The sequence below is a fragment of the Homo sapiens genome, chromosome 1, assembly GCF_000001405.40.
Source record: "Homo sapiens chromosome 1, GRCh38.p14 Primary Assembly".
NCBI lineage: Eukaryota > Metazoa > Chordata > Mammalia > Primates > Hominidae > Homo > Homo sapiens.
In genome coordinates this window covers 206,794,520-206,820,150 of record NC_000001.11, presented here as the reverse complement: position 1 = coordinate 206,820,150, position 25,631 = coordinate 206,794,520, and the positions used below count along the sequence as shown (strand labels likewise).

Sequence of the window (25,631 nt, the reverse complement as noted above, 5' to 3'; positions counted from 1 at the left end):
CGAGTGAGCATATGGAATGACAGGATGAGGATCCTAAAATATTTTGACAATCTGGAGCAATAAGCTTAATCCAACAAGACAAAATTTAGGAGGGATAAATATAAGACTCCATGGTTGAATATGAAAAGAATCCTTCACAAGTATAGAAGGAAAGGGGGATGGCCCAGTCACAGGAGATATGAGACCCACATAAGAACTTAGGCTTTGGGGTTAGATAGACATAGGTTTACATGTTAGGTATACCAGTTAGTAACTGCGACCCTTGGAAAATTATTCAAGCTTCTCTTAGTCTTTCCCTGCAAGAATTAGAGATAATTCATATAAAGGACCTGGCAGTTTCTGGCAAAAGTAAGTGCTCAATAAGCGGCCAGTGAAAGATCTAAGTTGCTTGTAATAGTGCTGAGTCTCTACATAGCCCAGGAAAAAGCTATCCAAAAGAACTTTCTCTAATGGCAGAAATGTTCTATAATCTGAACTCTCCAATATGTTGGCCTCTAGCCACAAATGGCTATTGAGTTCTTGGAATGTGCCTATTGCAACTAAGGACTGAGTTTTCCTTTTTTTTTTTTTAGACGGAGTCTTGCTCTGTCACCCAGGGTAGAGTTAGTGTCACATCTTGGCTCACTGCAACCTCCGCCTCCCAGGTTCAAGGGATTCTTCTGCCTCAGCCTCCCGAGTAGCTAGAACTACAGGCACACACCAACACACCCGGCTAATTTTTGTATTTTTAGTAGAGATGGGGTTTCACCATATTGGCCAGGCTGATCTGGAACTCCTGACCTCGTGATCTGCCCGCCTCAGCCTCCCAAAGTGCTGGGATTACAGGCGTGAGCTACTGTACCCAGCCCAGTTTTACATTTTAATTGTAATTAATTTAAATTTGGATGGCCACTTGTGGCTAGTAGGTTATTATATTGAACAGTGTGGGTTAAGATGATGTTAAGAAATGCTAAACTCTGAGACAGGAGGATTGCTTGAGCCCAGGAGTTTGAGGCCAGCCCAAGCAACACAGCAAGACCCATCCCTTAAAAGAAAAAATAAGCTGGGTGTGGTGGCTCACGCCTGTAATCCCAGCACTTTGGGAGGCCAAGGCAGGCAGATCACGAGGTCAGGAGTTCGAGACCAGCCTGGCCAACACAGTGAAACCCCATCTCTACTAAAAATACAAAAATTACCTGGGCGCTGTGGCAGGTGCCTGTAATCCCAGCTACTCAGGAGGCTGAGGCAGGAGAATCGCTTGAACCTGGGAGGCGGAGGTTGCAGTGAGCCAAGATCATGCCACTGCACTCCAGTCTGGGCGACAGAACTAGACTCTGCCTCAAAAAAAAAAAAAGAAAGAAAAAGAAAAAAGAAAGAAAGAAAGAAAGAAAATACAAACTCTAAACCTAAGTAAGATCTGGAGCAGAGAAACAATTTTCACTTTTCTTTATAAACTTCTAAATGGGCTGACTTTTTATTGTAACGAAAGTGTACAATTTGATAAGCTTTGGCATATCCAGACATCCATAAAACCATCACCTCAATTAAACTGTGAACATACTCAGTAGCCCCAGCAGTTTCTCCTGCTCTATTTTAATCCTTTTCTCCTACCCTCTCACCCACATCCCCACTCCAACCCTGCTCAGGCAAGCACTAATCTGCTTTCCGAAAGTATAGACTAATTTGGGTTTTCTAGTATATTATGTAAATAGAATCATACAGTATGTAGTCTTTTTTGTCTGGTTTCAACTGAACATAATTATCTTGAGATTTGTCCATGGTGTTGCATGTATGACCAATTAATTTCTTTCTAATGCTTAGTAGTAGCCATTATATGGCTATGCCGCAATTTGTTTGCCCATTCTCCTTCTGATGGACATTTGAGCTACTTCCAGTTTATCGGCCCAGAATATGGTCTGTCTTGGTAAAGATTCTGTTTGCACTCAAAAAGGATGAACATTCTAATATTGTTAGGTAGAGTGTTCTATATATGTTAATTAGGCCAACTTGGTTGACAGTGTTATTTAAGTCTACTATATCCTTGCTAACTCTGCCTCCTTATTCTATGGATTATTGAGAAATGGGTATTGAAATCTTCTACCATAATTGGCCGGGCGTGGTGGCTCACGCCTGCAATCCCAGCACTTTTGGAGGCTGAGGCAGGCAGATCACTTGAGGTCAGGAGTTTGAGACCAGCCTGGCCAACATGGTGAAACCCCATCTCTACTAAAAATACTACTATTAGCTGGTAGTGGTGGCACACGCCTGCAATCTTAGCTACTCAGGAGGCTGAGGCAGGAGAATCGCTTGAACCCAGAAGGCAGAGGTTGCAGTGAGACAAGATTGCACCATTGCACTCCAGCCTGGGCAAAAGAGAAAGACTTTGTCTCAAATTAAAAAAAAAAAAAAAGAAATCTTCTACCATAATTGTAAATTTTTCTATATCTCCTTGTAGTTCTGTGAAGTTTTATCTACTTTAAAGCTCTGTTATTAGGTGCATAAACACTTAAGACTGTTATGTCCTCTTGATAAATTTACCTCTTTATCATTATGAAATGACCTTCTTTATCCCTGGTAATATGCCTCTCTGAAATATGTGTGATAGAGATATAGATGAGATTTATGCCTCTAGATAAATAGGTAGACATATGTAGATAGCCAGCTTTCTTTTGACCATTATTAGTGTTACTGCACAAAAGTGTCTTGCTGCTGGATGTGCTAGAAGCCAATATAATGACATTGAGTTTTTGAGAAAAGAAAAGCTTTATATTGCAAGTTGACTCACAAGAAAATAAGAGTGTCAAGCTCAAATCTGTCTCCCTGTGCTGGCTTCAAGACAATATTTATTTTAGGAAAAGTTCAGGGGGTAGATTCTGAGATCAGTAGGTGATTGGTGGAAGGAAAGGGAGGTCTGGAAAGTCCTTAGGCATGCGCAGTTATCTCTTCATGCTAGATCACAGGTCTCATGTGCAAATCAGGGGGAGTTAGTATGAAACATATGGTGGAAATTTAGGCTGTGATGTCAGCAAGCTCATTCTGTGCAAACTCCAGTAGGCCATCTTGGTTCCAACTGATTTCAGCCAGTTTTTTTTTCTTGATATCAGAAGCCAAGGGAGTTTCAGCGTTTCAGCAAGTTGCTTCTTATCTGATATCCTGCCAGCTCAAGAGTTTCTGTTAGTTACTGGTTTCTTACTCTTTGGTGCACAGTTTCAGTTTCAGCTTTTCAGCAAGTTGTTTCTTTTCTTATCTGCTATCTTATAAGCCCAAAAATTTAGTCATTGGTTTCTTTAACTCACTGAGGGACAGTTCATTAGCATAGTATATCTTTCTCCATTTTCTGCATTCTTTCACTGTTAACCTATTTGTGTTTTTAAAGTATGTCTCTCATATAGTTTGTTCTCACGTATTTTCTTTAAAAATTCAGTCTGATTATGTCTCCTTTTTAATGGTCATATTTAGGCCATTTGTATTTAATGTGATTATTGATATGGCTAGGTTTGGGGCTATCCTCTTGCTATTTGTTTTCTATTTGTACCATCTTTTTTTAAATACCTTTGCCCCTTTTTCTGCCTTCTTTTGATTTCATTAAGTATTTTCATTATTCCATTTTATCTCCTTTGTTGACTTATTGTATATAACTTTGTTTTATTATATTAGTGGCAGTGGCTGCTTTAGGGTTTCATATGTACCATATGCTTTTAACTCACCACAGTCTGCCTTCAAATCATACTATATATTTCATGTAAGGTATAAGAGCCTTATGATAGTGTACTTCCGTTTCTTCACTCCCAGCTTTTATGCTATTATTTTCATACATTTTACCTATACCTATTTTATAAATTCCAAAGTACATTATTTTTTAAAAATAATTATCTTTTAAAGATATTCTTAAAATCTTATACATTTACGCATGTAGTACCATTTCCAGTGCCCTTTATTTCTTTGCATATATTCAGAATTCCATCTGATATCATTTTCTTCCTGCCTAAAGGACATTAGTGCAGGTCTGCTGGCAATGCATTTTTTCAACTTTTATATGCCTGAAAAGCCTTTATTTCATCTTTATTTTTCAGAGATAATTTCACTGGATACAGAATTTTAGGCTGGCAGGTTTTTTTGTTTTGTTTTGTTTTGTTTTGTTTTCAGTACAGTAGGTCCTCAATGTCATCAGTAGGTTCTTGGAAACTTTAAACAAAACAACGTATAATAAAAGCATTTTTTTCTCATCAACATTGTAATGAAAAAATGTCGAAGGAAACAATGTTATTCGAGGGCCTGCTGTACATCATTTTGCTAAAAGTTGCCATTTTCAAGAACCTATCTACAATGTTAAGTGAGGACTTACTGTACTTTAAAGATACTGCTTTGCCATCTTCTTATTTGCATTACTTCCAATGAGAAATTTGCTATCATTTTTATCTTTCTTCCTCTCCCATGGATGTCTCTTTTATATAGTTGCTTTTAAGATATGTCTGGTTATGACTTGCTTGGTGTCATTTTCTTACCAAGACTACGTTTCATATAGGATTATGCTACTCCTATTTTGCTGATGTTAATCTCCAAAATCGTGGTGGATAATCAGGTAGGATTGACCTAACTGAGTCATAAATAATAGTAAAAAAAGGAATATTTTTAACTCAGGATTTTAAAAGGACTTGTGTGACTAAATCCACCCAATCCAAAGAGAACTACATACACTTTATTTAGCAGTTAACTTGGCCTATTAGGAATTCTCAAGAGTAAAATTTTGGCTGCCTGTTCTAATTATTTCCTCTGTGGCCATCTTAAAACATGGTACCAAAATTATTTGACATTCTTCCCACTGAGACATGACATCTATATCTCCTGCCCTCGAATCTGGGTACTGTGACCACTTAACTGATAGAATGCAGCAGAACCAAGTTTTTTTGGTCCAGACATTAAGACTCCATCAGTTTCTCATTTTCTCTCTCAGGCTGTTTGTTCTTGGAACCCAGCCATAAATGATCCCAAACATCCTGGAGATAGACTCACATGGGAAGGAGGTTCACAGCCCACTGCTCTGGCAGAGCTCCCAGAGAGCCAGCCTCAGCCATATGAATGAAATATCTTGAAAGTGGATCTGGCAGTCCTCATTGAGCTGTTTCAGCTAAAATTATATGGAACAGAAATGACCTATCTGTACTGAGCCCTGCCCAGATTGTATATTTGTGAGCAAAATAAATGATTGTTGTTGTTTTAGGTCTCTAAGGTTTCAGATGATTAGTGACACAGAACTGTCTCAAGTAAGTAACTTCTGCTGTGATCCAGGGTTGTTTCCTCTTTTCTAACTTCTAATCTTCTATTTGACCCAAGGGGTTCCATTTGCTTTTTCTTCTGCATTGACACAGTCCTGTCCTAGTAGGACTCACATTGCTATTCATAGAAAGTAGTCGTGCTTCCACTCTGCATATGTTCAAAGTGAATTGTGTGTGTGTGTGTGTGTGTGTGTGTGTGTGTGTGACAGAGTTTCACTCTGTTGCCCAGGCTGGAGTGCAGTGGCACAGTCTCGATTCACTACAACCTCCACCTCCCAGGTTCAAGTGATTCTCATGCCTCAGCCCCTCGAGTAGCTGGGATTACAGGGGGCCGTCACTATGCCTGGTTAATTTTTTGTGTGTTTTTAGTAGAGACAGGGTTTCGCCATATTGGTTAGGCTGATCTCGAATGCCTGGCCTCATGTGATCTGCCCACCTTAGCCTCCTAAAGTGCTGGGATTACAGGTGTGAGCCACCACGCCAGGCCCAAAGCATTCTGATTCCCTCCATTATCCTCTGCAGAATGCTGTTTACCTGCTCTATGTGTTAACCATTTTCTCTTGCTGCTCTTCTAAGCTACATACTTGGGTTTGGCATATTCTCTGCCTAAGCAATGTTCTATTAATATTTACTGGCTGCAATCTGTGCTCATAATTGCCGTTCAAACTTACACTTAGTATAGGAGTCTTTATTGAAAACTTCCAATTGTGCATTGCTTGAATCAGTTAGAGTTCAATCAGGAGATGGAAACCACAACAGTTTTTTAAATATATGCAAATAGGTACAAAGATACTAACTAGATAACTATATCAGCCAGGGATCTTCAGAAAAACAGAACCAGCATCTCTTACTATATATAAAAAGATTTATTTCAAGAAATTAACTGATACAACCATGGGGGCTAGCAAGCCTGAAACCTGTAGGGCAGATTGGCAGGCTGGAAACTGTCACGCAAGAGCTAATTTGCAGTCTTGAGAATTTCTTCTTCCTCCAGGAAACCTCAGTTTTTGCTCTTCAGGTCATTCAACTGATTGAATGAGGCCCGCCCACCCTATTGAGGGCCATCTCCTTTACTTAAAGTCAATTTAGTGTAGCTCTGCAACATACCTTCACAACAATACCTGATTAGTGCTTAATTAAATAACTAGGTACTACAGCCAAGCCAAACTGATATATAAAACTAACAACCACAGTAACTAAAAAAAGTTAAAAGAGAACTCTAAAATATCATAAAGGTTGCAACTGCTGAGAGCCAAGAGGCAAAGAGAAAAGGTTAAAATTATTAAAAATTAGAAACAGTAGAGAAGCCCCAAGGAACTGAAACTCAGATCTGTAAGAGGCATTGCTTGGCCAGTGCTTGTTGTCTTAGTTCACAGGGAGGGATCCAGGGTATTAGGATCCAAATCTCTGCAGAAGAGACACTGGCTGGCTATTGCTGGTGTCCCCAAGGGACACATGCTGAAGCTGATTCTGCAAGTCAGAAAAACTGAAAACTAGATTTAGCTGCTGCTACAAGGGAAAAAAAAAGTTATGATGAAGGAGCTTCTCTGGGGTAACACTCACAGGAACCACAAGCAGACGGGAAACCCTCAGGAAGCATATAGGAAGGAGAAAACCCCTTTTTCTGCCTCCAGCTTTGAAGTCTCCAGCTAGTGCCCCTATTGGCAGAGCCAACTGGCAATGCAGAAATGTGGTTTTTAGGGTCCGGTCTCTAGGATCACAAAGCAGACTATAGAAGGTTGGGTTTAGAACTGAGAGGCAATAACTGATACAGTCCACCCCTTTGGCTATTTAGCATCCATTACACTGCTCCACAAAAATTTGAACTTTTATACAACCACAAAACAATTCATTTCCTCCCAACAAAATGCAACTATTCAGCATATAAAACAGGCGAGCATCACCTTCTCCCCAAATTCAGGATTATAAAGTCTCAAGTCATTGTATCCGTTTGAATTACTTCTCAAATTCAGTCACAGTCCCATCTGAATATGTTTTCTAAAAACCAAATTGCAAAGTTAACTTCCAACAAAACCTGTATAAAATGATATGAATAAGAAGAAAGAATAAAATAATTAATATATACAAATACACACAGTAAGCAACTAACTAGTCATGAGGCCATAATTATATTTATAACTTCCTTCTTCCACTGCCTATTTTATGTTTCCTTTGCCTTCATCCAGCACCTCACACGGTTGGGGTTTTTTATGTGGTGGGGTAATCCATCTGGCCTGAAGGGTCTGAATCATCAGTGGTTATGCCTTTAGCCAGGGGCTGGGGAAGTGGTCATCTTCCATTAACTTTTACTATTGGACATGAAAATCCTAAAAGGCACCCCAGAAAATCCCACTGGGTTCCAGATATTGTCCTCTTTGGGCCCATGGAGTGGCAGCAATCCAATTTCACTTTGGTAATCAGTCGCCCCAGTCATAGAGTAACCTTCTTCTTAGCCTGTTGGTTTGGCATCATGAGGATCCCCAAATGGCCAAATGGTAGTCTCATCTTCCAAACCAATGGGACATTGATGTATTTCCTGGTAGAGACATTTGTTCCTTAGGAACCAAGACTCCAAACCAACAGAGTTCAAAGGCACAGGGATGAAAAGCAAAAATTCTGTGAGTAGGCTATGAGATGTGAGAGTGTGAAGAGCTAGTCCCTCTTCCACCCCTGATTCGCAGACCTGTGTAGTCTGGCTACAGGAAATATGGAACCATATAGTTGGTTCTGTGATTCAAAGTATAATCTACATCCTGTAATGTAGAACCCCATCCCTTCAGACTGTAATCTCCCAACTGGTACCATAACTGAATCTTCAGTAGACCATCAAATCTTTCTATTAAGCCATCTGCTTCTGGGGATTAGCATATGTGGTTGTACCAGTTAATTCCATGGGCATAAACCCATTGCTGCAGTTCTTTTGAAATTACTTTCTTGATCAGAAGAAATGTTGTATGCAGTACACCATATTTTGTAGTCACAGCTGCCAGAAGATTTTTGGACAGGAAAGCAAATCTGCACTCAGAATTCATATCTCCTGCACTAAGGAAACATTTTTCCTTCCCTCCATGATGGAAGGGTTGCACTGTAATCAATCTGCCCCTGGGGGCTGGCTGGGACTTTTAGGGAGTTGTACCATAACAGAGGCTTACTTTAGTTGGCAAGCTAGGAATTCAGCAGTGTTGGTATTCAAAAAAGCCTTGACTAGGGTAAGTCCATGTTGTTAAATCCATGCATAGTCCTCATCCCTGACATTATGGCCACTTTATGCTCAGGGCCATTGAGCAAGCACAAGAATAGCTGGAGAAAGATATTAACTGAAATCCACAGGATGCGTCATTTGTCCACCTTCAATCAAGAGATTCTAAGTCTGGAACTGGCCTAGGTCTGGAAATAGAATGAAAGGCAGCTCAAGTTTTTGGTCACCAAACTTTTTTTTTTTTTTTTTTTTTGAGACGGAGTCTTGCTCTGTCACCCAGGCTGGAGTGCAGTGGCGAGATCTCGGCTCACTACAAGCTCCACCTCCTGGGTTCTCGCCATTCTCCCGCCTCAGCCTCCTGAGTAGCTGGGACTACAGTTTCCTGCCACCACACCTGGCTAATTTTTTTGTATTTTTAGTAGAGGTGGGGGTCACCAAACTTTTTATATAGTTCAGATGACATTTTAGTAGCTGGCCATCTTTTTCATTCCTAGATGCACCATGATCAATTCGCCTCACTAAAAATCTCTAGGTTTCAAAACAGTTTGATTATCACTATGCCCTTTCTGTTTTTTATGGTATTTATCTTAGTCTATTTTGCATTTCTATACAGGAATACCTGAGGCTGGATACTTTATAAAGAAAAGAGGTTTATTTTGGCTCGCAGTTCTGCAGACTGTGCAAGAAGCATTGCACTGGCATCTGCTTCTGGTGAGGGATCCAGGAAGAATCCAATCATGGTGGAAAGCAAAGGGGGCATGTTACATGGTGAGATAGGAAGCAAGAGAGATGCCATGCTCTTTTAAACAACTAGCTCTCAGGTGAACAAATAGAGTGAGAACTCACTCGTTACTCTGAGGAGGGCACCAAGCCATTCATGAAGGATCTGTCCCCCTGACCCAAACACTTCCCAGTAGGCCCCACCTCCAACTCCAGCATTGGGGATCACATTTCAGCATGAGATTTGGAGGGGACAGGCATCCAAACTATGTCAGTATTTGCAGTCCCCTTGTCTCTAATGGTTAAATTATAGCATTTGGCCTCTGCTATATGGGAGTCTCATCATTTCTATTAAAATCAGAGATTCAACTCAATGGAGGTGTCTTTCACCATCATACCTGGCTTATAGAAGACAGCCACCACAGAGCTTTTCAGAGATGCAAGTGCTACCTTCGTCAATGTGTTTCTTAATGTCTTTATGAAAGGATTGTCCTCTAGGCATTCTGGGGGATGGATGTGAGGCTGGTAGATGTAGAGATTTCATGTGATAAAGTCACTCCATCATTCCTTCCTCCTTAAGTCTTGGATGCCTTCCTCTACATTGTGTCAGGGAAGTTCTGGCATTCCAGCCTTATTGAACATATGCCACCATTGAGTCCAAGGTTTAGTCAGCCAACCAAGAAATTTTAGAGCCACTTCCAGTTACAAGAGCTAGCTCACTAAACCCAGAATGTCTCATAAATACCCCCAATAAATTCAATCCAATCCAGTGCTATAGTCTATCCTCCTTGGTCTAACACCCTTAGAATCTATTCTCACACATATTTCCCAAGATTCTGCCAGTATTTATTAGTAAAGTCTTGCACTTCTTTTAGTGTATAAACTATTCTGAGTCGGACTTTGTCCATGCCCTCCAACCCCCAAAGAAGGGTGAGATCCGACCCTAATGGTGAGGCAAGTGGCAATAAAGAGAGGTTGGGATGGGTCTTGAGAAGGAGAATTCATTCCCTTGAAGGAAACTGCCCCAAGTGAAGTTGTTATAAGGTTTTTCACAAACGTGGTTGGGATGGTTGATTCCACACCTGGTGGTGATTGCTGAGCTGCAACATGCAATCTACTGATGAATCTGGGGAAGTTCCTGTCAGACTCATTATAAATGAAGGACAGTATCTTGCAAGTCATTTAATGGAAATTTGTCCTTATCATTATCCTGGGCCCAACCCCACCTCCCAGCTACTATATTTCTTGTTTGAAGCAGGTCTCATCTAATGCACCCAGGCTGCTACAGTGCCATCTAGTGCCAATTGCACAACCCGCCTTATACTTTACATGCTACTTACAGTAGATCAAGAGGGCAGATTCACCTTTTCTGGTGGTTTTCCTAAAACTAGTTAGATGCCCAGAGGTTGGTATGGTACTTTTTCAGTCTACAATGGTGCAGTATAAAATCATCTTTTGAAGTCCCTACCAGAACTGTGGGCTGGGCAGAGAAATATTCTACCCAGTTGGCCAACAGAGTCTTCCCTTGAAGCTGAGCTAAAGTGAAGACCTGCAGGAAAAGCCAGTGGAGGTCAGGCCCACAGACAGCATCTTCTGAAGTTCATGCCCACCCACCCCACACCAAGTACAACTAACAGTACAGACTAAAAAGCCTATCACATGTGGAGATCTCACATAGGTATGTGGAAATCATGCATTATTATCCCTTCCTTTCAGATGAGAGCAGTCTTAAGATAATGAACCAGCTTGGGTTTACACAGATAGCAAATAGCAGAGACAGGTATTCCAGCCCAGGTCTGCTGCCTAGGAATGCTGTATCTACCACTCTTCACAGCTCCTAGGTGAAGCAGTGGGGGCAACACCCATGGGGGCTGCTTTGAGGGACATCATGATCAACATATACAAAGACTGTTTGCCAAGAACAGAGAGCAGCTTTGCTCTCTCTCCCTAAACAAGACCTGCTTTTGAGTTCATGGGGAGTAGTACAAGTTTGTTTCCAGAACCTTCTGCCTTCCTTCTCTGTCATACAGAATCCTCATGCACCCTCTTCACTCATGATGTCCCACCCAGGCTGTCCTTTCCTGGCCAGCATCTCTAGCCCCTGCAGCCTCTTCACTACATCTGTCTCTCACCTTCTTTGTTGCACCACAAGGGGTCCTTATTGTCCACAGACCAAATGGGCTGGGAGCCTTTTCTTAGGACTCCTGCTAAGACTTGTGTCAACTGCAGGCACACATACATAGCAACAAGCCCCTCTAAGGTGGATGCTTTGTCCTCATGGCAACACTTTCTACACTACCCTCTGTGAGTTTAACCTACCGCGAGTTTTCTTGTACCTGGAAGTCTTAGGGGCTCCTCACCCTCCCACCTCACTCCATTTACTCTGTCTCAGTGCCAGATCTCTGCTCACCTAGTTTTTTCCTACCTCACCCCACCATGCGTGCACATGGGCACACACACACACACACACACACACGCACACACACAATTCCCTTCATACCTCTCCCTAATTTTCTGAATTCTATCCTTCCTTCAAGGCCACAGTCACTCTACATGCACGGTTAATTCTACTCTCAGAGCTTCACATCACATCAGTCAATATCTTTTGTTTGGTATGGTTTGTTTTTTGTTGTTGTTTATTTTTGTTTAGATGGAGTCTCGCTCTGTTTCTCAGGCTGGAGTGCAGTAGTGCAATCTTGGCTCACCGCAACTCCGCCTTCAGGGTTCAAGTGATTTTCGTGCCTCAGCCACCAGAGTAGCTGGGATTACAGGCATATATCACCACACCTGGCTAATTTTTGTATTTTTAGTAGAGACAGGGTTTCGCCATGTTGGCCAGGCTGGTCTTGAACTCCTGGCCTCAAGTGATCTGCCTGCCTCAGCCTCCCAAAGTGTTGGGATTACAGGCATGAGCTGCCACACCTGGCCTATATCAATTTTTATGGCACCAAATTAGGAACCAAAAGCACTATATAATGAATGTGTTTATTTACTGTTTTAAATATGCTTTCTGCTCCATTTTTTAACATCATAGTTCATCTCTTTAATAGAAAAAAAGTTTACCATCACCTTAGAAATTATAGTTAAATCAATTCCCATAACTTCTTTCTATATATTTGCTTCTATATATAGTTACACCATTTCAATGTTTCTTTTTGCCTTCCTCCTACAAATATAAATTGCACACCATTTCTTTGTCATACACAGTGCTAAGACCTGGGAATTCAGTGACAAATAAAATAAACATGGTCCCTGCTTTTGTGGGGTTCATACTCTAAGAGAAGACAAATGTAACACAACTAAACACATAAATATATAGCTACAATTTGTGATTAGTGGTCTGAAATAAGGGTGCCAAAAAAACAAAGGAAACTTATTTTCAGATTTTGAGACCAGAGAACATCTGAAGAGGTGATATAAGTAAGCTGAGATGTAATGAGAAAGAAGGAGCCAGGAAAAGAAAGGGTTGAGGGGAGAGAGTTCCAGGTTGAGGGAACAGCATGAGTGAAGGCCCTGAGAGAAGAAGGAGCTTAGCATGTGCACAGCAAGAACTGATCAGTGGCTATATGACTATAGCATGGTGAGTAGAGGATAGTGTGGCTGGGCTGGGAATAACTGCAGAGGTGGAATCAGGCAAGGTCTTGAAGGTCATAGTAAGGAACTTGAGTTGACTCTACATGCCATAGGATATGGTTTGGCTGTATCTCCACCCAAATCTCATCTTGAATTGTAGTTCCCATAATTCCCACATGTCATGGGAGGGACCTGGTGGGAGGTAATTCAATTATGGGAGCAGTTACCCCCATGCTGCTGTTCTCGTAATAGTGGGTGAGTTCTCATGAGATCTGCTGGTTTTGTAAGGGGCTTTTCCCTCTTTGCTCAGCACTTCTTCCTGCCACCATATGAAGAAGGACATGTTTGCTTCCACTTATGCCATGATTGTAAGTTTCCTGAGGCCTCCCCAGCCCTGCAGGACTGTGAGTCCATTAAACCTCTTTCCTTTATAAATTACCCAGTCTTGGGTATGTTTTTATAGCAGTGGGAGAACGAACTAATACCCATAAGAAGCTTTAAAATTATTTTAAGCAAGGAAGTGACATGATCTGGTTTACTAGACCATTGGATGACATGTACAAAATGGCTTAGAAGGGTTGAGAGTGGAAGAGACAGGCAACTTAATAGGCTGTGACAGTGGTCCGGATAAAATATGATATTGACTTGGACTAACACGATACCAGATTGATAGTGGAAAGGGGACCAAATCGTAATATATTTCAGAGGTAGAATGATAGGACTGGGTGATAATTTGTACCAACTCTAATTTATCCTTATTGTGATACATTTTTTACTGGCTTGCTCAGGGAGAGTTCCGGGAATTGTATTTTCCGAGTGCATACGTTATGAGTGACAATTTACCTAGGCATAGAATTCTCAGGTCACACAACTTCTTTCCTTCACAGATTAAAATACTTTGTTTCATTGTCTTCTCACATTTAGAGTTATGGAAAATAAATCTGAAAAATGCTTGACTTGTTTTCTCCCTGCCTATTTATTTATTGAGTTTTTGTAGTATTTTAGATGTAAAAGTTCTACCTGAATATATTTCAGAGTAGTAGCTCTTTTCTATCTGCCAATGTGATGTTATTTAGCCTACCTAGCATTCATCCCCCTTTCTTCTGAAAGTAGCAACCCCATTTTCCTCTGGGAAATGATATTTCCCTTATTTGCAGTCCATATGACTCTAGGTAAAGCTGACCCATCCTCTCATCCCAGGAGTGGGTGTGTGCTGCCGGTGAAATTAAGGCAACAACGCTTCTCAATTGCATAGATTGATTCAAGGGTGAGTACATGACCCAAGCCAAGCCAATCAAAATCAACGAGGATTAACCCAAGGTTAATGGTACATGTATTAGAACTCTCTTTTCCACTGGGATTGGTAAACTGGGAGAATGTGAGTCTGGAGATACTGAATGTCACCCTACAGGAACAACCCTCCCAAGAATGATGGCAACCCAGAAAAAAGCAAGAGCAGCAGGGATGGATTCCTAGTGAACCCTTGGACTTCATTAAGTGAGCCAGCAAAATTCCTTTTTTGTTTAAGCTGGTTTGAACTGAGCCTGACACGATCCAGACTCCTGATGAATACAGTAAGCGCATTCAGTTTTTAAAATAAGATTTTACTTAAAGCCATTATATTTTCTACATATGGCTTCTGCTCCAAAAGAATCTGTTCATTATCTTTAGGAACTCCTGTTATGTGTAGGTTAGCTCTTTGATATCTGTATTTCACGTTTACTCTATTCTTTCATTTTCATTTCTTTATCTTTTGCTTTTGTGTTCTAGGAAATTTATCTTCAGTTTGCCTTTTACTCATTAATTCAGTTTTCTGCAGTGTCCATTTGTAAGCTATGGCTTCCATTTTGGAGTTTAATTCAATAACTGTGTTTTCCAGCCTGATAAAATATTTCTTCCATTTGGATTGTTTCCTTTTTATAATGGCTTGCTCTAGTCACACAGATGTAAATTGTTTTAGCATCTAGCATATGGCATTCTTTGATAAACAGAAAAAAGTGAATGAGGTTATTATTCATTTTTCAGCTCAATGATTTTCCTGAATCTATCACTTAACTCCCCTTAGCCTGCTTTGTCTTTATAGCCTCTACCACCTGGTATATATCTGTATCAAGACCTAGAGCAATGGCTGCACAAGTTGGCACTAAAATCTATTTATTGGACATGTAAACGGATCAGTACAGATGTGTTTTCACTCTTAATTTGCTCAAAGTCCCATTGAGAAGGTAAAACTAGCACAAAAAGGTAAATAACCATCCCAGGCAGCTAACTGAGAGCTATCAGAAACACATACATGACTAATAGCTAAATAAATTGTGCCGATACAGGTGTGTACTCTAGAAGCAGAGCCAGGTATGCAGACAGCAGGTAGCAGGTGATCATTTAGTGCTTGAATGATCAGAACAGTGTCCACAGAGGATCCAAGGATTGAAAGGAACTTCAAAGAAGGGTATGATTTAGAAAGGAAGGAGTCTGGTGGATTCTTCTAAAGAGCATTTCTCTGGGATTCAGATAATTTCACCCATGCAGTTAGCACCCATTCTATCCTTGAAAGATACAGCTGCTCTTCCTATAAGGTAAGAGAATTTCAGGTTTGAACAGAGAATTTTAGATTGAAAAATTCAAGCCCATTTTCTATTCTTCCACCCGCAAACAAAGGTGCGGAAAGCAGTTGAGGAAACAGGCTGAGGTGAGTTTCCTTGAAGCCTTGCTCTCTTGCATCTCTGTTTGATCCCTGGGTCATTCCCTCAGGCATCTCTGGTCAGAAACACTTTTAAACCCCAAATCTCATTCTCACTGGGTTTGCATTGTACCTGGAAAGATGCTGACACCAATAAAAGCTTGTTGCTTAAAGACACAGCCTATGACTCACACAATGCACACTTTATACACCCTAATTCCTTCCATCTGTAGTAACTTTCAGCTTCTCATTACCTAAATTATTTCAGTGCACTCAACCTGGGGGTTATTGTCATATAGGGAATCAAATGAGGTGCCAGAAACAGATAAAAATCAAGAAAACAACAATTTGAAAAGGTTATCATTGGCATCAGGGAATGTCTGTGTTGGAAAGGATCTCCAGGTTCATTAGCCCCCACTCCCAGCACAGGAACCCTCTTTGTCATGACTCGGACAGATGTTATCCAATTCTGCTTCATGACTTTCAAGACCTGGGTGCCACATTCTGCAGTTGTCATCTGCAAACTTGATAGGCAGGTGAATGTGGCAAGCAACCCATATTTAAATATACCTGAAGCCCTCCTGGAATTTACACAGCTACATCTTTCCCTGTACTGCCCTGCAAGAAGCGTGAGAGAAGAAGCTCTTCTGAGCCTCCTGCCTGTTACAGAGAGCAAGAAAGGGAAGGGAAGAGACAGGGCGAAGAGAGAAAGGATTACTTGATATTGTAGTGTTCAAGCTGGAATAATTTTCCCTCCCACCTTGCTGGAGTGCTTTCCAAGTGCTATTTCCTAGAGCAATGCCAGATTAGTTGTTCCAGAATTCCCAGGGGGCTTTGCACAGAGTCCCAGACCCTGTCCCTGAGAGTTGAATTTTGTACATCTGGGATGAAGCCTGGGCATCTCTATTTGTTAAAGCTTAGGATTATTTTGAAGTGCAGTCAGTTTGAAAGTCACTTTATTAGAGGGCTCTGGACTAGGTCACCCCATTCCTGGTGGTTGAAAAACCTCATTGCAAGCAGATCACTCCTATGTCCTCCAGCAGTTTTCTGTAAGCATGTTTTTGTGTTGCTGAAGGCAGCCCCATCAGCCCCCAGGGGAATAATCCTTTCCTGTTCTCTCCAGCCATGCTCTGTAGGATCACCTGAGGCCTGTGTCTGGGCCTCTTTATCGCAGCACAGTACAAGCATCCAGCTTGTACTCTTTGTTGTGGGCTGGCCAAGATGCTGACAGGAACAAAAATGACTTGTTTTTGAGAGTAAAGATACAAGCTTTGACTCAGATGACGCACACATGTTCATGGAGGGAGACTCTCACATCCGACCTACCTTCTTCCGTCCACAGAGAGTCACGTTGCTACTCTAACCACATCACTAATTCCGAAAGATGGGGACTCCTACACAGGGCCTCCAGGTCAATGCCTCTGATTAGGGCAGGGAACTGGAAGGCATCCAACCCCGACTTCCTGGCACCCCAAGTTCTCTCAGCAGCAACAGCGAAAGCCCATGGATGTAACTGCATTACAGAAGCCAAGGCCCTCAATGTGTAGACTCTCTGGGGTGCTATTTTAAAAGGCAGACTCTCAAGCCCCACAAAAAGATGTTTTGAAGATTGGAGTGAGGCCAGAAAATCCACCTTTTGAGCAAGCAGGACTAGGGAATTCTGAGTAAGACTAGTATTTGAACTTTACCCATTTGGGACTGAACCTCAAAGGAAAAAAGGGATCTGGAAAAGGAAATGACGTCCCCCTCGCCCTTCCAGGGCCACAGCTGCTTCTGTTCTTGAGATATTGGCCAGGCCCCTTATTTCTTTGACATTCCCCTTGCTTTCCTGTCCCCTCGTCTTCCTTAACAGTCCTTCTTATCTGCCAGAAGATTGGTCTTTCTTTAAGGCTAGCAGTTAGCCTTGATTGGGGATCCAGTTCTATACATGTGGGCATAGAGGACAGAGCAAGAAGACAGGACAAGTGAGCAGAACTATACAGGGAAGGGAGGGACAGTGTTGGAAGAGAAGCCCAGGCTTGGAACTTGCCCATGGCAAAAAAAAAAGAAAAAAAAAATTGAAAATTTGTACCCTCATTATGTCACCAGGAATTGAAATTAAGTATGACTCACGATTTACCCATGAAGCTCTTTCCCAATTAGTCTGGGTTGTGTCACCAAAAGACCTGAATTTAAGTCATGACTCCATCACTTATTGGCTTCGTGATCTTGGGAAAATTATTGAACTCTCTGACATTTAGTTTCCTTATCTGTAAAATAGGGGTAATCGCTTGATAAAGGTGCTGTTCGTTTTGATGAGGTAATATATAAAAATGCTTAGCCCAGGTTTTGGTACATGGAAGGCAGAAAAAAAAACCACCCAGATATTATGAATAATATAATTCTGTCATGTACACCTTTCCTCTCACAACCTACTGACTTACTGTAGGCACCAGGCAACCTGAATTACTAGGTGTTCTCTAGGGCCCCAATAAGCCATGTGTTTTAAAGTCTAATGGAATGGTCTAATCCCATCTCCATCACCAACTCATAAGCTGTGTGACCTTCCTTCCTGGGCCTCTGTTCCCTTCTCTATGGATCAGTGCCAATACATCAAGTTTCTGCAAAGGCCTGGTGCATTCACTGATGCACACAAGGAGCCCAGGACCATGCTGGGAGCCCCCTGTGCTGCAGCCTCCCCTTCCCCTCCTTTCCTGCAAGCTCCCATGTTTGTCCATGCCTTTCTATGGAGGTGCCTTCGTTCAAACTGTTTCTTCCACCCAAATGTCCCTTCCCTTTTTCTGCTCACTGGAGTTCTTCCCAAAGCTGCCTTCATCCTACCTCAATCCCAACAGTCAAGATACCCAGGTAATCACCCTTCATTGACAAACAGAGTATGTATTGTGAGTCTGTGATGTGTCAGGCACTGTTGCTCATGACCAGGGATATAGAGATGATTAAGGTCTAGTCCCCAAGAAATTCAGTCTACTTAAGAACATAAGAACAATATGAACATAAGAACAGATAACTGTCCTCCAAGGAAGTGGGGGTAATAATAGAAGTGACTCAAAAGTGCTGGGACAGCACAGAAGAGGGAGCTCTTGGGTCTGACTCAGGTGGGATGGAGAAGCCTTTATAGAGACACAGAACTTTGACCGGAAGGATAAGTGATGCTTGACAGGGAGAGAAGAGGGAGTAGTTTGTCTAAGACTGACCCAGAGCCATAGAGGTCTGAGATAGGCAGTTGGGCCAACAGTGCTGGAGGCTGACCAGGAATGGGGAGGGCACAGAGACAGAGCTGGAAAGAGACAAGGACCAGGTGCCAATGGCCTTGAGTCTGGCCAGGGAAAGGTCCAGGAAGTTGCCTCCATTCCACCCCCCGCCTCCAGGCACATGAGGACAGTGGAGAGCAGATCTGTCATCTCCAAGGAACATTCCAGAGCAGGAGCAGTCCATGGAAATCCCTCATCTCTAGTCCCACTCATATCATTGGCTAGAAGGCCATGGGCTACAGGCTTGTAATTCAAAGGACACAGGGGTCTGGAGGCAGACATCTGTGGTTTTTTTTTTTTTTTAAACTACGAATGGACAACTTTCTTTGATTTCTTAAATTCAATTGCAAAATTTAGAAAATCCCACTCTACTAGGGAGAGAGTGAAAGTTAGAAGATCCAGTGCTTTCTGAGGAAGGTTGCAATTTGGGAGTGACAAATTTCACCAGAATCTCAGCATGCAGCCATCTCGCTCCATAAGCCAGAGGTCAACGACCACAGGCAGGAGTAATGTCTCATCCTAAGGCCTTCTGGAATATGTTTCTGGCCAGAGGTGGTTGGTCTCCAGGCTGTGCCTGGTCCTCATGCCCAGCCAACATCATTGCCTTCCAGACCCCAAGGCAATTGGCAGTGGCTACTTACCCACTGCCTCCCGGACTTAACACACACGGCCAGGAGGGGCCAGGGCCAATCTCCCCATTCTTTTCCCCATATTTTTTGTGTTCCAGATATACTAAATGTCTCACCTTCCTCCAGACACAGCAGCTCTTTCACAATGCCTAAAATCTTTTTCCAGATAAATGACTTCATCTGGAAGGGCTTGATCACCATCATTCCTGTCTCCTTTCCCCATCCCGGTTTCCTAAACACATGCACACTCACATACTCAACTCCCACTCTCCCTGGCAAACTCCTATTCACCCTTCAAGTTCAGTCATGTGTCACTGTTCTTAGCAAAACCTCCCTTGACCACACCCTCCTCCTCCAGGTGGTAAATCACTCTCTCTTTGGGGTCTTACGGCACTTCCTCCCCAACCCTTAACTAATAATACTGTCATGTTGCACAGCAACATATCGGAGCATTCATCTGTGACCTTCCCCCCTACCCCACCACCACTGCCCTGCCCCAGGGAGACAACTCCTCCAGGGCAATGCTGGAGACTTACACATTTCTATCCTTGGCACCCAGCTGAAAGCCTAGTTTAGAGGAAACGGTGTTGACTGATTGATGGTCTTCACCACTACACTGGAAGCTCAATGGGGTATGGACTTTGTCTTGTTCAGTGTTGTGTCCTCAGCAGTCTGGTGTGTAGAAGGCACTCAATAAAAATTGGTTGAATTAATTGCATTTAATCAAGCCTGGACAATTCAGTGAAATGAAACACTTGGCCAAGTTGCTTAAGTTCCTGAAAATTGATTTATCTGAAGATTATCAATGACTTTGGATAATTATTAAATATATCTTTTTTTGTGCAAGCTGTGAAATATATGGAGATAAACAAACTTGCTTATAGATAAGTGGGAGAGGGGATGAGATGTTTGTAAAAATAATAGTACACAAGATAGAAAGCAATACATGTCAAGAAGAGAAAGTGCTGTGGGTATTCAGGAGAGAGGTCACTTCCTCCATAGGATTGATCAGAGGGTCTTCACAGAGGACAAGCCATTTAACTTGGGACACCATTGATGATGTTTTCCACCCTGACCTTGGTCCACAGGCAGCCATGTGACCCTGGTCTCCTGGCTATAGCTGATTGGAAAGTGGACAACTGACCTAAGCTGTTCTGTTAGTCTCTGTCTCCCAGTAATTTGGTCTTGGGACTTTAGAGCACTAGTCAGTCTTGGCTGGTCCCTTGAATTAAAGACTGGTAGCCTCTAGAGCTGTGCAGTTGCAGTCCTCTGCAAACTGCTCAGAGATGCAGAGAAAGCTGCCAAGAAAAGCAGAAAGGAGTGACTACGTGGCCTCAGAGAGCGAGAAGCTGAGTTCTGGCTTTCTGATGACTTCTGCTCCTGGTTCCAGTCCCTCTGTGTCGTGCAGCAGCTTCCATCCCATGGATATTCTGAGACACCCCAGGCTCCTTACAGTAAATTCCCCCTTTTTGCTGCAGCTAGCTGGACTGTACCATTGCAGCTAGCAACCTTGGTGAAGACTCTTGTTGTGTGAAGAAATGGGCCATGACCAGTATGGGAGCTGATGGGGAAGGGGTATGCAGATATGGTTTATTTGTCTGCCTTTCCACCCTACACTCCCTCACTCACCCTCAGCATCTCCAGTATGGTGACCCCCCCTTCTCCCCTAAACCTGGCCAGCAGTCTGGCAATAAGGAACTTTATGACAGACAAAGGCAGTCCTGTCAGTTCATAGGTGTCTGAAAACCCAGTCTTCCAGAGTCTTGAAATAAACTGGATATCTCTGGTCCCAGAGAATGGCTCCACATCCAGGGTCCCTATAGCAGAAATTACTTACCCCGTGGAACAGAGCCCCAAAGCACTGGCACACACACATGGATATGTGTGTGCACATGTGTGAGTGGTAAGGAACACGCAGATCTGTGCGGAAACGCTCCCTCAGTGCACATTCTTGGACTCCTGTCAGTGTGTGCAAGCACCGCTCTATGGAGAAAATCATAGAGAGTCATCATTACAAAAAGGTACACTCAGCTCCCTCCTTCTGGTGGCTTTGAGGTCGGCAAAAGTGCACACACGGCAACCTCTTTACAAAAATTCAACCCAGCTACTCTGAACCGAATCACACCCTCAGTCAAGGCCTGTATTGTGTGGGAGAGCTCCAGGAGGACAGTGGTGTTTCTCGGTGCGCTGTGGGACTCTGACATTTGGTAAATCGGGTCGGGGAAGAGGGTGGCCAGATTTTATGGGGCCCAGAGGCATATATAATGGGAGGGAGAACTGTCTTTTAAGAAAAAAAAATGTGTATATAATTACTTTGGCTGTGGAAAGGACTAATGAAAGTAAGAGATCCTGAAGCTTTTATTAGCGTCACAGGAAATTGACTTGGGGGTGGGAAGGTGGGCGCTTAAAATTAAATCCCACTTTCCTTTGCTCTGTCCTTGTCATTTCTATACAAATTGAAGCCCCCCAAGGACTGCAGGTCCACAACAGCACCACTTCCCTTGCAGAGGGGATGCCTGGGCTGTAGTGTGGGCTTGCACACGCCCCCTGCAGGCTAGCGAGGTCAAGACTGGATGGAACAACGGGCCAGGTGAAGAATGTGAACTAGGCAGCTGCAGTGCACTATGATCGCACCTATGAATGAAGAGCCATTGCACTCCAGCCTGGGCAATATAGTGAGACCCCATCTCAAAAAAAATTAAAAGAGGAACTAGGCAGCAAGAGGTCTGGGGAATGTCATCTGTCCCCATGACCTACAGCAGGTGTGCCATGCTTCCTCCTTCAACTCCACCTCAACACAACCAAACACAGAAGGTGCTGGGCTCTCTGAGAAAGGACTGCCTGTCAGGAGGTCTGTGGCCTGTGAGTCACGGCTCTGCCACTAGCTAGCTCTGAAATCCACTTCTTCTGCCTGTAAAATCAGGGATTAGGTTGGATGACATCTAAGGTTTTTATCTTAACCCTCTTCAGAAATTGCTTCATCTCATAGTCACGTGGAGAAAGAGCCAGAAGTCAATATCCCTGAATGTGGCACTTCCTGCCAACCACGACACCTTCTCCAGACTCCCATCATGTCCCAGGGAGTCCTGATCCCTGTGGGGACATAGTCTGAAATGGCCAGCTGCTGTCCTCCTTTGGCCACGGAACCTCTAGGGTTTGTGAGTGATAAGAGTAGGTCTGGAGGAGGCAGCAGGAAATGTCCTTGAGAAAAAAGATCAGGAAAATGATTTTTCCATTTAAAGGGCAATGTTTCAAATAATTTTTTAAAGCAAATGAATGTAGACACCTGCCCATTCCCAATATACAAATTCCCAAACATTTTCTTGTTTTCCAGGAAAAACAGTAAAGGGCTCAGGATAAGCTACAGTAGCAGAAATGGAGACATTTGCAAGAATACCTGAACTCTCGGAGGTGGGGGATGTGTAAATGGGTGACTGCAGGTCAATGTGGAAACCCTCTGGTGCCTCTGACGTCCATGTGTCTGCTTAGGAGGATGTACGACATGACCTCCACCTCACCCCACCCTCCGCCATGAATTCCCTTCCTGCCTGAGAATTCTACACCAGTTGAGCAAGAAAGTACAAAGGAGGACTGACTTGGCAAAATCCCATGGGGCCCTGGTGAAATGAACAGGTTTGGCAATGATTGTGTCACTATGACCCCGGACAAGTGACTTAACTTGACCATGCAAAAGCCAAGGATGTTCACATCCTGTCCCGCAGCAAAGTCTCTACACTGCAGGGAGTGAGCCCTGACCCTTAGAGGCTGACCCCAGCGAAGGAGTCAGGGAAGGTTCTTCTTCCTCCAAGTCTTACCCCAGCCTCAGCACAAGGAGGCTTTGTGATCCGGTTTTCGAGCAATACTTCCCATTTACTGGGCTGTGAACATCCCTGAGTCTGTAGTCCTGGGCTGGACAAAGGGTGAGAATCCAGACAAAGATCACAAGACAGCCATTACTGTCTGGGCCTCCCAGAATGGTGGAGGAAGCTGCCAGACTAATGAAGGTGATATAGAACACATTAAAATACAGTCATGTGTCACTTAACGGTGGGGATATGTTCTGGGAGATGCCTTATTAGGAGGTTTTGTCATTGTGCAAACATCATAGAGTGTATTTACACAATAAGATAGGCCATACAGTAAGGCCTATTGCTCCTAGGCTACAAACCTGTACAGCATGATGCTGTACTGAATATTGCAGACAATTGTAACATGATGGTAGGTTATTTGTGTATCTAAACATATCTAAACATAGAAAAGGTATAGTAAAATACAGCATCATAATCTTATGAGACCACCATCATATATGTGGTCCATTATTGACAGACACCATTACTTGGTGTATGGCTGTAATCCTACAGGAACTCATGGGGGAAAAACAATGGTAAGTGAAAATTAACATAGTACAAGCCACCAGCCTCGTAAAGAATGGAGGATTGTGATGGCTAATTTATGGTCAACCTGACTGAATCACAGGATTTCCAGATGTCTGGTTAAGCATGATTTCTGGGTGTGCCTGTGAGAATGTTTCTGGAAGAGATTAGCATTTGAAGTTGTGGACCGAGTGAAGCAGATTGCCCCTGCCAGTGTAAGTGGGCATGGTCTGATCTACAAAGCGTAACAGTAGAACAAAAAAGTAGGGGAAAGGAGAATTCCCCTTTTCTGCCTGACTGCTTGGACTGAAACATCCATCTTCTCCTGCCTGGGAGCTTCTGGTTCTTAGGCCTTCAGACCTGAACTAGAATCTAGACCATGGGACTCTCCAACTGGCCTTCGAACTATACCATCGGCTTTCCTGGGTCTCCAGCTGCAGACAGGTGATCATGGGGCTTCTCAGCCTCCATAATCATGTGAGCCATACCTTATACCTTATAATAAATCATACACACACACACACACACACACACACACACACATATATATATTTATATTGGTTCTGTTTCTCTGGAAAATCCTCATACAAAAATGAACTGAATTAATCAAAGAAGGCTTCTTCTTGGGGAAGGTGAGTTTTAAGGCTGTTAATAGAAGGAATAAAAAGAAGGGAGTCTTTGATTCAGACACAACTGATGGAACAAGAGTGGGCTATGGGGGATAACTTGAGGGCAGGCTCTGATCCAGGAGCAGGAAGGTAAACAGTTATCCATGTGTAGTATGCAGAGGCTGTAAGAAGCTCATAGCAAATCGCCCCAAGTCTTGGGTCTGTCTGCCCATCCATAGAATGAGGAAGAAGGTAGACTAGCTAGTCTCTACAGCTCCTTCCAACTCCAGCATTCTACAGTTCACAATCCTAAAGGTGTGGGAAGGAGTCAAATGGTGAGTTGGCTTGGGTTGAGTAGAAAACAGATGGTCAGTAGGAGAGGAGTAGGCCAGGCTCTTGAGGCATCCAATCTGAGAGTAATTTAAGCATACCTGCTTGGGCTGAGCAAACTCAAACCTCATCCCTGACCAAACACCATCCAGGACTAGTTCTTATAAAGCAGCCTCAGAGCCAAAGGCAACTTGTGTATATGACAGAATACACCCAGCTGGATGCAAAGAGACTGAAATGTTCAAGAAGGTGGGCTTGGTCTAGAAAAGTGCTGCAGCTTCAAGGTGACATATCTGTCCCCTTTCACAACAGACTACTGCCCTCAGACTGTTGTCAGGCTGAACTGTACCAGCCTTGGTGGCCAGGTGTTACTGTACTTCCCAATTCTCCAGCTGGCCCTTGTGTCTGGATCTAGACTGGCCCCTATGCCTAAGCTTTTTGTGTGGAGAATGAAAGGCCCTGAAAGACACCTGGGCCAGAGCATAACAGCCAAGGTTGCTTTAGCTGGCATGGGGAAATGGAGGAAGTGTTTGGGTGATCTGCCAGGCACAAAGCAGTTTTGGGACCCCACATCCTGCCCTGAAGGATGCACTCACTGACCCTTTTCCCTGAGATTCCAATATTTTCCATCCCACAGCACTTTTGCCAATTCACATGAGTGCCATGGGCAGAAATAGGTATGGAAAGTGGGGAGCATAGCAGGATTCCAGCTTGACAAAGCACCGGGCTTGGTACAGGTCACAAAATGTGGTCCAGGGAAATCCCCAAACAGAAGTGCCCCAGATGGTTTCCCCATTACTTTGGGTAACTTTCCATTGCCACACACCCACCCCTACCCACCTCGCAGGTCTCTTCTAAAGAACCTATTGCTCACCTTGTGACTTGTCAGGCATGAGAATCAAAAGAAGCAATGAGCCCAGTTCCTGAACTTGAGAAGCTAAAATCTACGTGAGAAGATGAAACTTACACCCATGCTACAAGTAGGGAGGACCCAACAGGAGGACCCGGGGCCA

The 25,631-nt window shown here is 43.2% G+C and overlaps 1 protein-coding gene across 2 annotated transcripts in view, besides 3 other annotated features; it reads right to left on the bottom strand.

Annotated features, from left to right (window-relative positions):
• IL19 (interleukin 19) overlaps positions 1-25,631 on the bottom strand; it is a 72,209-nt gene that overhangs the window by 22,831 nt on the left and 23,747 nt on the right. For both annotated transcript variants that reach the window (NM_153758.5, NM_001393490.1), the window contains exon 2: positions 21,145-21,290. The gene's annotated coding sequence lies outside the window, so the exon portion shown is untranslated. The remainder of the gene's footprint in view (positions 1-21,144; positions 21,291-25,631) is intronic.
• Positions 16,924-16,973: an enhancer, noted in NCBI's record as "active region_2425". NCBI's record gives its function as "activates an Ori minimal core promoter by ATAC-STARR-seq in GM12878 lymphoblastoid cells {active_cell/tissue: GM12878}" and the evidence as "EXISTENCE:reporter gene assay evidence [ECO:0000049][PMID:35858748]".
• Positions 25,358-25,497: an enhancer, noted in NCBI's record as "active region_2424". NCBI's record gives its function as "activates an Ori minimal core promoter by ATAC-STARR-seq in GM12878 lymphoblastoid cells {active_cell/tissue: GM12878}" and the evidence as "EXISTENCE:reporter gene assay evidence [ECO:0000049][PMID:35858748]".
• Positions 25,528-25,627: an enhancer, noted in NCBI's record as "active region_2423". NCBI's record gives its function as "activates an Ori minimal core promoter by ATAC-STARR-seq in GM12878 lymphoblastoid cells {active_cell/tissue: GM12878}" and the evidence as "EXISTENCE:reporter gene assay evidence [ECO:0000049][PMID:35858748]".